Source organism: Homo sapiens, chromosome 9, assembly GCF_000001405.40.
Source record: "Homo sapiens chromosome 9, GRCh38.p14 Primary Assembly".
In the NCBI taxonomy this organism is placed as follows: domain Eukaryota; kingdom Metazoa; phylum Chordata; class Mammalia; order Primates; family Hominidae; genus Homo; species Homo sapiens.
The window spans coordinates 107,003,293-107,016,488 of record NC_000009.12 but is presented as its reverse complement, the minus strand read 5'-3'; the positions used below and the strand labels follow the sequence as shown (position 1 = coordinate 107,016,488).

Below are 13,196 nucleotides of genomic sequence, written 5' to 3'. Positions count from 1 at the left end.
GTTTCTAAATGACCTTTATCATACTGTTTTGTGAATTGTCCCTGTAAGCCCCAAATGAAGGAAACATAAACAATATCATTGGTGCCTGCCATCAGCGTTGGCATCATAGTTTTCAGTGGGTCTTGGGCCATACAAAACTGAATAAGAATTCTTCTCTTTCTAATTAAGTCTTAACATTATTTTACAGATAACCCAAATCTGAAAGTCTAGCCTCTCAACTGTGAATATCTTGGCTATGCTAAAATATCTAGAAATTTTTAAATTGCAATAAAAGCATGCAAGATGCATGGTTGAATATTGTTATCTTCATTTTACAAATAAGGAAACTAAGACATAACGTGGTTTAAGTAGCTTGCCTGAAATCACACAATTAAGTGGGTCAGCTGGGATTTGAATCCAGGTGGGCTGACTTTAGAACCTACATTCATGATCATGGTATCTCCCTCTCTTTTGTATATCCAAGGGCATGATTAAGTTATTACTTCCATTCATGGCTGGTGTTGGTGCAAATTAATAATACCCTTTTGAATGCTAATTGTACCTTTGAAAATTTATTTTAATGGAATTATCCAAAAGTGTGGCTGGGGATGCCATGGGCAAGATATCAACTACATCATTATTTATAATATTGCAAAATCTAAAAATCTAAATGTTCAATAACTCATGAGTTACACAGTTATGTGTTTCCATTCAATATGTTATGTCGTTCTGAACATTTTTAGTTGTGAAGACTCTACAGCAACATGGAAAATATACTATTAAGTGGAAAAAAGCATGTTTTAAAATTGATTAGAGACATGTAAAAAGTGCTCAGGAATGAAACTGGTAGAAAGCATTCCTGGATATGGATGTGGGAGGCAGGAAAGTGACTTTATTTTGATGTCTCCTCTAATATCATCACATTAATAATTGTAAACATAAATTTTTAAATTCTGAAGGTAAAGACTTCTCCAATCCTTAAAGCTCCACCTGTTGGCACGAGTGGAGTGTATACACAAGTGTACAAGTGAAAGGAAGTGAGAGATAGTTTTGTTTTGCTAAACTTATTCCTCTGAGAGCTATGCCATAATGGTGGCAAATAGTGAATCAATAAGGATAGTTGCAAGGAAAAAACATATAGTAATTTTTGTTAAACTTAGGACTAAAAGACTCAACGAATGTATGTGAGTAACCAATTTCTTTTATGCCTCTCTAAGTCAAATATGTTCTTTTGGATGGACAGAAAAAACACATTTACTATCAAGACCATGTTTCCCAAGGGTTGCCACTATCAATGCAGAGGTACAGTCAAAGCCTCACACCAGGAAGCTAATGGGTCCAGCAAGCCCCAAGCATCTCCAGTGGAAGGCACGTCTCCAAATGTTGCATATCTATGCTCACCATTCATGAGCTGTCAGAAGACACATCTCACGTCTGTCCTGTTTCTTGCTATAGCTAGCACCAAATATTTGCTCAGAAATCTTGGTTAAGTGCATGAGCAATGCGGTGGGATCAGCATCCTTTACCTTCTAAAGAACAGAGTTTCTTTCTCTACCAGTTCCTGACTATGGTGGAGGCTGCTTGGTCACGTGCTCTTCCTAAGCACACTGGAAGCTCACACACTTCCCAGTCCCTTTGTGGACAGGTGGAACAATGTGACCAGATCCAGCCCATAAAAAGAGGCTGAAAGTGATGTGTGCTACTTCCTGGATCAGGCATTTGAGTGGGTGAAACACTTCCAAGCTCTCAGCGTTGACCTTGAGATTCATGTGTTGAGATGACAGCATCACCAGATGGAGCAACCCAGACTCCCGAGTCAACAGGTCTAGGACACCTCACAGACATTCACAGGGAATGTGTGTAAGAATCAAATCTCTATGGTGTTAAGCCAGAGATTTCAGGATTTGCCTTGTTGCACCCCCTACCATGACTTATATAGCAATAAATTCCATTTCTTTTACATAAACAAAGTGAGAATATGGATTAGACATGAACTCAGTAAAAGCACTGTTCATAAAATATTTCATGGAGACCATGAGAGAACAGCTGTATCGCAGTGAAGTCCATTAAGTCACTTTCTCTCCTTTCTGAAAACATACAGGATAAACTTCTCAACCTGCAGTCCTTAGAAAAGGTTGAGTATCTCTTGAGTATTCGAATATAAAATGTACTCAGAATGCGATCTTATTGATTGATAGGGATGGGGAGGAGGAAGGGTTAGAACCAAGTTTTTAGAATGAACACTGAACAAATGATTCAGGAACCATACTTCTAACACTGGTAGAGGCAGATAGTGTAACTCAGCTTTGAGTTAATAATTAATGCTGTTGGTTTTAATTTACTTTTCTTCTAGGTTTCAGGACTATTAATTTTTCCATTGATTTATAACAGGGTAGCTCAAAGAATAAGTTAATGGTGATAATTATGGCTGCAGGATGTTCAGTAAGATAGTTTGTGGCGCAGGCTTTCATAAGCAAGGACGGCAACATTGAAATAGATCCTGTGCAGTGGGTGTGACTTGGCAGTTAGCTTAAAATGACTGTGCTTGTGGATTCAGGGTCCCAGATGATGTTTAATCACGGGTGCTTCCTCCTTCTGAAGTTCACACATCACTTTGATTCACATTTTTGATGGAAAATATTCCTTCCCTAAAACTCCCTCAGTTGGTGATGAATACCTGATGCAGAAATATTAACATTTGAAAATCCCAGCTCAACCTCAACCTCACCTCAGCTTTACCTTTGCTTTCCATACCTGTGTAGATTCAATGACTTAAAATATCTCGTGTACAAGCATTGAAAGGTAGTGCTATAATATTTCTAGATTTCATATCTGTAGTCATATCTGTAAATGATTTACAACAGATGCACATAGACACATGTGAAAAAAATTCTTTATTAATTTCTCACATTTCATTACAAAATGTATGTTGCAAACAACTTGAATAACCTACTTGTGGTTTTTTTTGTTTTTGTTTTGTTTTTAAACCCTTGGCTTCAAGGACTCAGGGTCTCCCTATCTCTTATGAAGTATTGGGAAACACTGATTACTGGAGTCAATAGGTTATCATTTTGCTATTTATTTTCTTCTCTCAAGCTCTGAAAAAAATGTCCTCTGTATAAATTAAACAACAACAAAAAATGTTGTAAATTCTATGTCATTACAGTCAACAGAATTATAATAATGCATCCAAAATGTGCGGCCACAAAATATCAGGTATATGTTTGAAAAAGAAAAAAATGACATTCTAGCCTTGTTAAAAGGATAATGGTCCCATATTTTTATTAACAGGTTAGCAAAACAAAATCCAATGGATTACAATATTTACATGTTATTTGAAAAATAAAGTAGTGATAAAAGCATGTCACAATTATTTTCTTTTTTTTTTTCCTTTTTCTTTCTTTTTTTGTTTGTTTTTTGGTAACCATTACAAACACCCAATCCAGGTATGGAACTGTTTAATACATTTGAAATGAGGCCAATTAAAAACAAATATAGACACAAAATGAATCTTTGTCTGGATAGTTCACACTTTCCCCATTTTCTGGTTTCCACATGATGGCCCCCATCCCTTAAAAAAATTAAATTAAAACAAACATCCTACAAATAAAAATTCTTAACAGTAAGAAAATAAAAGAAGAACATGCTTTTCAAGTAAGCACTTATTCCACAAATGCAACATCTTTCCATGGATTTTATTTGAAGCTGTGTGGGACACTGTCATCTCAGCAATTCCCCTTCCCTTTCTTCCCTCCCACCCTCCCACAACCCTTCCAAGTAAAAAAAAAAAAAAAAAAACATGAAAACCAAAGGATTCACACGTGCACACATGCACACACACACTCATACACGCACACACACATCCAAGCACACACACACACGGGCTTCTAAAACCTAGGCTTCAAGAAAAGTTCTTTTCTATTTTTTGGAACGAAACCCTTTGTTCACAATCAGAACATATTATAAATGTAGGCTTAGATTTAGTCTAAGCTGCTCCCTCCTGAAAAAGCTGATATGGGGGACAGAGCAGCTGGCAGCTAGATTTAAAAAAAAAAAAAAAAAAAAAAAAAGAAAGAAAGAAAGTAGTTCTCCAGGCTCCTTGTAGGATATGTTATTTCTTGTCCACTCTCACGAAAGGGATGGGATTCTAGTACATCCCCTCGTCCCCTAAATAAATGAAAACCCCCAACAAAACACAATGCCAGCAGAAACAAAACACAGATTTTAAAATCACACACAAAAGCCAGCCAATCCTAACAGAAATTATTTATGAGACGGATAATGCGTGAATTTGACAGGCAACAAAAGGGTGAGGAGGACCTCCTCGTCTGGCCCACAAGCTGCATAGCTGTGCCGAAAGTTTGGTTCTTTAGTTAAATTAAAAAAAAAAAAAAAAAAAAAAAAGAAAGTTAACTTCTTTGTTATTTCCATGTTTAAAATAAAAACATTCCTATTCACAAAAAACTAAATCTCCCTTGCCCCGAAATTAAAACAACAATAACAACACACACACGAAAAACAATTCATATGAAAAACTGAATTGTGCTGTGTTTGTAACACTCAAATTGATAGAAAATAAACATGTGGCAAACAAAACTCCACAATCACCTTAAAATTAGCTCACATGAATCTACCAAATTCTAAATTATAGTTGAACACTAATAAACAGCTTACCTGGAATAAAGGATGACAATTCACAAACAGTTATCTAATAATTAAAGTCTGTTTCTTTTTTTTGTTTTGTTTTTTACTAAAATAATTAAAAAAATCACAGTATTTTAAGAAATAAAACCCACATGGGGATTTTAAGCACAATTTGTGTTCCTTTCTTTAAAACTCTTTTTTTTTCTCCATTCACCATCTTGCCCAGCAGTTCTCTCTACATTTAACCACAACGACGACAGGTAGTACTGACAAATGCAGAGAGTTCCCTTGGTTAAGTTTGAGGTACTAGGAAACAGGTGACTGTTTTATGCAAAGCAGTTTTTTTTTTTTTGTTTTCTGTTTTTTGTTTTTTGTTTTTTTTTCCCAAAGCGGCTGCAGTTAGGTCTTGAAAAAGCTTAAGGTATTAAAACTAGAAAAACGCACCAAAAGTTGTGCGTCAAAAAGTTGCTCCCCAATGAGAAGTCTTCTACCGTCATGGAGCTTCTGTTTCCACATACTGTCCAAGACCACCACAGGGTGCACCGTACCATTGGGAGGTGCTTCCATATTCCGCAACAAATGAAACTTCCATGATGAAGATCCGGAAGAAAAGATGTAGTGATGGAAAAGGAGCCACATATTCCAACCATTTAAATAACTTTAATTTACATACTCACTCACACAGGTACCAGTGCTTTGAAAATAGATTGTTCAGTCCTAAAAAGCAGCTTTGTTCTGTCTTCTCTTTTCTGTCCCTCCCTTCTCAGCCCAAGCCAGCCCTCCCACTTTTTCATCACTGTTCAAGTAAGGTTTGATTAAGAATTTCACCAAACGCTCATTCTTTTTTGGCCTCTGCATTCTCCAGGAGAGATTTGTCGGCAGTTACTACACAGATGGCTACTGTTTCATTCTTTAGGGAAAAGTCTATCCCAATGGCCTCGTCATCTTCCTTTTCCTCTATGGAGGGCATTTTAACACTGTTCTCCATGATCTCTTTTGGGTGGATTTCTTCTCTGCTCACCTGCTTGGTGTCATTCAATGCCCTGGAAAAACATTTATCGAAGAGACAGATGAGTATAGTATATATATTTCTCTTTTTAAACAAAAAAATAATAAAAACCCTCGAGTGTCTTTATTTTCCTGATCCTCAAAAAGCCTTGGGGTTTCCTTTGAACAAATGCCATGGGTGTATGACAAAATACCAAGTGATGCATCCCTGCTATGTTTTGCTTAAGTCATATATTTCTGTATCTTAAAGATTTGAACTTACAGAAGTATCCATTATTATACTATATATTGATTATCCCATGTTTTCTTTCTAGATAAGCATAATCATTTTATGTCACTTTCTCTACTGGGTCATAAGTGGTAACAGCAAGAATTGTCTTATGCTCAGAGTCATCGGCTGAACCCAGAAGCTTGGAGATTGGTTATATTTATGAAGTCTAAAAGAGTAACTCAGGTACTAAAGATTTATTTGTCAGGTCCCGAAACAAATCACGAAAACAAACTAAAAACAAAAACCTGAAGATGGAACCCATGTCTCGGGAAGCTTGGTTATATTCTCTGAGGTCTAGACCCTTGAGGCTTCAGGGACCAAGCTTCAGGCTTCCTATCACCACACAAGCCATGTTTCCTCCTGAAAAGACCACATCCTAGGTTCTCTCTGCATCTGGTGGACTAACGTGCCTTGTTGAGGGGCTGATTTTATGTTCAGGGATCTCATAAGTATTTTACAAGTATGCTCTCACCTACCTGGGAGGCAGGCAGAAGCTGGCTCTGTCCCCGAGGCAGTACATGGGAATGTTCAGGGCCACTCAGGGAATGATCAGTCAGAGAGGCAGGAACAGAAGCCAGATCTTTTGACCTCGATTCACGTTCTATTATAGAATGTCACGCTAATGAAGACTAAAGGGATATTGGCTGGAGAAAACACTATACTTCTGCACACAGGCTTGAGCAGGACTGATCATTCATAAAGACGATTTTTTTCCCTATTTGACTTGCGGCTGGGTGACCATTTTAAAAAACAACAGAAAAGGAGAAACTTGGTTCCTCACCATTGCCTCTCCTCCCACGGCCCAGAAATGTGACACAGAGGGGTGTACATACTGTCAGGGGAACCAAAACAAGAGCCCCTCCCTCCCTCCCTACCTCTTGCTTTGGACAAAGGCATCCTTGAAGTGGCCCAACTTACATGCCGTGTCTCAGCACATGTCTTTCCCACTCAGAGCCCTGTGAAAACGCCCGTCCACAAAATTCACATGGAAAACGCTTCTCAGTGTTAAGAGCAGCCCCGTGGTCAGAAAATCTCATCAGCTCTGCAAAGAGAAAGCAGAAGTGTTACCTGTGTGCTGTGGGAATCAGCAGAATAGGTAAGTCAGCATTCATTAGGATACCCTCTCTCCTACCTTCACTGATAAAGCCATGTGGTGAAAGCAATTTCCAGATTCCTCACTTTTTCTTAGGTTTCCCCCTTAGGGCATTCCTTGAATAGCATTCGAGAACTGTTTCTGGTTCTTGGGCCCCAAGACCTCATTTCGCCTCACCTCCCCAATGCTTCTATCACAAAATCTGGGTCTTTCTTGACTGAAGAGCCGCTTGCCCGAGATTCCAAAGGAATCTGAGCATTATTTTTTCCGATTTATTCTCTCCCTTGTGTGATGATTTATATCAGTGCCTCACAGGCTAGCATCTATTCATTTCCTTTTTGACACAGGTTTATCTTTGTTCACTGAAAAGAACATAGGCTACCGAAAGCCCTGGACCAGGTTATGTGTTGTGGACCTCAGGGTTTCTACTTGTTCCAAGTAAGGCTGAAGGCTCATGACTTGTGGTCATCCATCATAGACATTATAATCAATACCTTACAGGGCGGTTATGTGCACTGAATGAGATCTGCAAGCGAAGAATCTACCATGAACATTTATCTGGATGAGTGGGAACCAGTATGTGAACACATGTCCCCTGCTATTGAGAGATCCTGGCCAGCTGCCTGGCACCTACCCCTCAATTGGTGGTATTCATGAATACGGGGATATGCAGACATTTCTGGACGGTCTGTTGTAAACATCAAATATTGACTTAGTTGTTTTGTTTCCTCCATGGTACTAGGCACATGGTAGAAGTCTGATAAATGTGGATTGGCTGTTTAACTGTTTTCAGGCCACGTCTCCTGGCAAACTCAAAGATAAGAGATTATATGGCCATTGTGTTAGCCCGAGTTCCTAGCCCATATGTGTTTCATTATACCACAGAGGGCCAAGTCTTCATGTAGGTAATAAACAGCAGGACCTTGCCAGTTCTGCAGCCGTGTTGCAAAGTGAGGGCATCGCACAGGGAAGTGTTGATCATCTTTACACTCTGATCACTCTGGTCCACACATACAAGACATTACAGGAAGATGCCTCCTGGTTGAAATGCCCCATCTAATAAGATTCTCAGGACGATGTTAACAGGATGGGGGGCTCTGTGATGCCTTAATCTTCAGCACAAACAGCTATGTGACTGGGGCCAGATTTAACAAAAGATGAAACATTTTCTCACAAATTAAGAAGATCACCACACAAGCCATTAAAAATAATTGCACAGACTATCTTCCTTGATTCTTTTCATTGGAAATGAGACAGCACCATCTGCTCTGCGCATTAATTCCTTAGCAGGGATTATCTTGGGCAAGAAATCAACAGAATGCCTTCCTGACTCCTCCCCAACTGCATAATGAGAGGGGGGTGGGGAGGATTCTGCTTGGGTTAATTTTGATTTCTTCATGCCTGGATTCTTCTCTTTCAAATCTTCCCTGAGCTTCCTAGGCAGGACCTGCAGCGTGTCCATATTCAGTCCGGCACTTGCATTTAGAAAGGAGGTAGGGAGTGGGGTGGCTGCGAGGCTGTGAACCCCCTAAACTGAGGGTGTCTGATAAAAGTCTAAATTGCCAACAAGAGGAATAATGTTCCTGGTACACTTGTTTCTTTACCCTTAATCTGTAAATAGGAAACCAGTCATCTGTCCTTTCCAATGGCACATACTAAGTTCCATCCTCAAAGGAGGAGGCCACTGGGCACTGGCCACACTTCCAAGAGCTCTCCACCAGCCTGAGAGCTGCACGCAAGCCACCTCCTGCCCTCTGCTCCTAGAAGCTGGGATGTCTAGCAGAAACACCCGAGGCTATTGTGTGTATTTCTTTTTCCTGCCAAGAATACACCTAGATGGTGGAAAGTTGATTCTTGGTCTATTCAAAGGAGAGATGGGACAAAGGAGGCTGCTCTTTCAAGGATCGGCGAGGGGGAAGGGAAGGTTTAGGCTTGTAATTCCCATTAATGTGACTGGAAGTTACTCATGTAAATCCCCCACCCTCTGAGAGGAATACGTGCTTCTCCACCCTGAGGGCTTTTTGTTCCCCCATGTGGTAAAGCTCACGAATGTGGACACTATACTTTTTCCAGTGAGAAGAGGAGACCCTGAAGTTCTTTCCAGCCAAACCACTCCAGTGTAATGCCACAGTGCCAAGTAAAAGGGGGCTGCCAAGTAGGGTAAAATAAGGAGGTCTGCCTGGTATACCACACACATCTCAACCACCATGTTTTAAATTCGAGTTTTCTTTCTTTCCTTTTCTTTTTTATAAGGAGTCATAGGGGAGCAGAAGCCTAGAAGGGTATTTTGCCTTTATAATGCTTATAACCTTTGAAATCACACATGCTCAGCTTTAGAGATTAAAAAGCCATAATAATATCCAATGAGAAACAGTTTATTTCCAGAGGAGAAAAGGCAAGGCCACAGAGCGTCATGAAGAAAAAGGAGTCTTTCTGTCAAAAGTATCCTCTCCCAGAAAACTCCGGTAACAGTGCAGAGATGTTAAGAAATCATTGTAAAGAACATACTCATGAAATGGTTTGAAAAAGAAAAAAGAAAGAAGCCATGCTTCTCCGATCACAACCGTTTTCCTTGTAAGAAATGGATTAATACAGCCTCTACTAATAAAAATAATAACTTTATAAGAACAATCAACCTATATGGTAAGGATGTTTTATTTGTCCATGTATTTTTCAGGTTAATACAGGCACAGGGTTTTTGAAAGGGTAGTGTACCTTGGCTGTCATTTCCTGCTGACTGTCTTGGTCAGGGGTTCAAGAGCCAAACTGGGGCCCCCTTCGCAAACCCATAGTCTTTAGCCCTGGCATCATGGTAGGAGGGTGAGTGCAAGTCAGGAAAAGGAACAGGGAACACCTTGGAGGGAAGTAGCCCACCAATAGGCTTCCTTAATGTTTGCAGACAGAACAAGCAGAAAACACAAAGAAATTCTGCAAAACTGCTCCTTACAGCAAGGTCCCAAGGGCCACTGAATCCACAGATTTCAGGGTCAGGTCCCCTTCAGTGAAGATTACACTACTCGAAGCACTGGGAAAGTGGTGTGCAGGGTAAGAAGAGGGCTTGCCTTTGGAGCCAGAAGATGTAAATTTGAATTGAATTTGGTCTCCAGGGTTTATATTTTTTGTTGTTGTTTGTTTGTTTGTTTTGTTTTTTACTTTGAACATGCTCTTAAATTTCCTGGGTCCTTATTTTCCCATTTGTGAAATCACAAAAATAACACCTACATTGCAGGCTTATCATTTATTAGGTGATTGTTATATTCTAGGAACTGGGTGAAGGTCTTCTGTGTTATCTCATTTAATCTTTACAACAACCCATGGAACCACACCCTGGATAGCCAAAGAAATCTTAAACAAACAGAACGAAGTTGGAGGCACCACCCTACCCGACTTCAAAGTTGACTACAAAACTATAGTAATCAAAACAGCATGGTACTGGCATAAAAAACAGATACACAGACCAACAGAACAGAATAGAGAGCCCAGAAATAAATCCACACATTCACAGTCCATCGGTTTTCAACAAAGGTGCCAAGAACACATAATGGGGAAAGGGCAGTCTCTTCAATAAATGGTATTGGAACAGGTGGATATCCACATGCAGAAGAATGAAATTAGATCCTTATCTCACACCAGATACAAAAATCGTCTCAAAATGAATTAAAAACTTGAATATAAGACCTGAAACTATAAAACTACTAGACAAAAACAAAGGGGAAAAGCTCCATGACATTGGTCTGGGCAATGATTTTTTGGATATGACCTCAAAAGCATGGGCAACAAAAGCAAAAACAGATAAACAGAATTACATCAAACTAAACAGCTTCTGCACAGCCAAGGAAACAATCAACACAGTAATAGACAACCTATGGAATGAGTGAAAATATTTGCAAACCATACATCTGATAAGGAATTAATACCCATGCTGTATTAGAAAATCAAGCAACTCAACAGAAAATCATCTATCTGAGTAGACATTTCTCAAAAGAAGACATACAAATGGCCAGCAGGCATATGAAAAAATGTTCAACATCACTAATCATCAGGGAAATGCAAATTAAACCACAATGAGCTATCACTTCACACCTGTTACGAGGCTATTATCAAAAAGAGTGAAGATAACATGCTAGAGAGAATGTGGAGATAAGCGAACTCCTGTTGCATTGTTGGTGGGACTGCAAATTAGTACACCCGTTATGGAAACAGCATGGAGGTTCCTCAATCAGTTAAAAGTAGAACTACCACATTGATCTAGCAATCCCACTCCTAGGTATATCCAAAGGAAATGAAAGCAGGATATTGAAGAAATATCTGCACTCTCACGTTCACTGCAGGGTTATTCATAATAACCAAGATAAGTAATCAAGCTAGGTGTCCATCAATAAATGAATGGATAAAGAAAATGTGGTATATACACACATGAAATACTATTCACCATTAAAAAATATGAAATCCTGTCATTTGTGACAACATAGATAAACTTGTAGAACATTACATTAAGTGAAATGAGACAGGCACACAGAGGCAGGCACAAATACTGCATGATCTCACTTATGTGGGGAAACTAGAAAAGTCAAAGTCATACAAGCAGATAGTAGAATGGTGGTTACCAGGGGCTCGGGGTTTGGGGAGATATTGTTCAAAGGATACAAAATTTCAGTCAGATAGGAAAAATAAGCTCAAGAGATCTATTGTACAACACAGTGGCTACAGTTAATAACAACATATTGTATACCTGACAATTGCTAAGAGAGTAGATTTTAAGTGTTCTCACCATAAAAAATGACAAGTATGTGAGGTAATGCATATGTTAATTAGCTTGATTTAATTTTCCACAATGTATATGTATTTTGAAACATGTTGTACATCATAAATATATACAATTTTTATTAAAATAATTTAAAAAAGTAAATTTAAAAAGTCCAAAATCTGAAGTTTTAAAGTTAAAAAAAATCTTTACAACAATCTTAGGAGGGAGGTGATATTATTCTCATTATTACGATTGTGATTATTTCACAGATGATGAATGTACAAGGAAATACAATAATTTACCCCAAGCCATCTAGACAGTAAGTAGCAGAACTGGAAACCAAATTCAAGCAGGCTAAATGTACAGTCCTCTCTAGTCATGAGATTAAAGAAAAATGTTATATAAAAACGACCAGCACTGAGGCTAGCACATAATGATGCTCAGTAATGGCAACTAGTACTATTCTCATCTCTGGGTCAATATCTGCAATGTTGATTTCTGATGTTTATGTTATCCACGTGCTTCTGATAAATCTGCAATAACTAAAGTAACATATCTCAACCTATATTCTTGTATGTATAGTCTGGGGTTTTTCACAATATTCTACGTTGAACAATATAGAAAACCAACTCTGAATCACATAAATGTATATCCACAACTAAATATACTTTTGAAAACTTTTTCATTTTGAAATAATTATAGACTCACAGGAAGTTAGAAAAATAGTACCAAAGTCCCACAAAACCTTCCCCAGTGTATTCTGTAAATACATAGTTGAATGAAAGAGGTGGTCTCTCTTTCTCTCTCCTTACAAAGCAAGTCAGAGCACAAAGGGGGTTAAGAAAAGGGCCACGCAGAGGGACATCAGGGGGTAGGGGCTCAAGTTCTTTGCACCACCGTCCCCTACAGTTCCAGCAGTGTGTGCCCCAGCAGCAATTTTAAATATGCATTCAACTGGAAGTTCATTCTCATTCCTCTAGAGCTCTACAGTGTCATCCATCTTGCTGTCTGCTTGTCCTTATTCTGAAGATTCCCTAGATACCAGTTTTCCTTATTAAAAACAAATCACTGCCATCTATTTTTCAACAAACATATATCTATAATTAGGGAGAAAATGTCTGTTTTCCTTGGCGTTTCTATAGCTGGTAATAGTTTACAAAGACACAGCTCTTGATGTGTTTTCTAAGTCAGTCTGTTCTGCTACTTAACTAAGAAGGATCATTCCTTCTGTTACTCCTACAACAACCTCCTGCCTCCCTTCTGTCTCACTACGGACATGCCAGATGCCATCTGGGATTGGGAGGGCAGGATGAGACTAACCTCTGTCTTCAGCCTTGCTGTTCATTTCTTCTTCCTTGTCCTCATCATCGCTGCTGGAGCTCTCCATTTTCTCCTTCATCTGTTCCAGCTGATCCAAGTTAACCCGTCCAACCAGCTCAAAGTTACGGCTTACC

General features: G+C 39.0%; 1 protein-coding gene and 1 long non-coding RNA gene across 37 annotated transcripts in view, besides 1 other annotated feature; one reads left to right on the top strand and one right to left on the bottom strand.

Moving 5' to 3' along the window:
- Positions 1–13,196, top strand: part of LOC340512 (uncharacterized) — a 128,156-nt gene that overhangs the window by 86,500 nt on the left and 28,460 nt on the right. The gene's annotated exons all lie outside the window — the stretch shown is intronic.
- Positions 2,855–13,196, bottom strand: part of ZNF462 (zinc finger protein 462) — a 153,477-nt gene continuing 143,135 nt past the window's right edge. For all 36 annotated transcript variants that reach the window (XM_047423662.1, XM_047423672.1, XM_047423680.1 and 33 more), the window contains 3 exons: positions 13,063–13,195; positions 6,821–6,944; positions 2,855–5,666 (listed from right to left, as the gene is read on the bottom strand). In XM_047423662.1, coding sequence (XP_047279618.1) covers positions 5,459–5,666; positions 6,821–6,944; positions 13,063–13,195 — 465 coding nt within the window. In that variant the 3' untranslated portion in view covers positions 2,855–5,458. The remainder of the gene's footprint in view (positions 5,667–6,820; positions 6,945–13,062; position 13,196) is intronic.
- Positions 8,658–9,159: an enhancer, noted in NCBI's record as "NANOG hESC enhancer chr9:109769611-109770112 (GRCh37/hg19 assembly coordinates)". NCBI's record gives its function as "activates a minimal SCP1, AML or CMV promoter by ChIP-STARR-seq in primed H9 embryonic stem cells {active_cell/tissue: H9 hESC(primed)}" and the evidence as "EXISTENCE:reporter gene assay evidence [ECO:0000049][PMID:30033119]".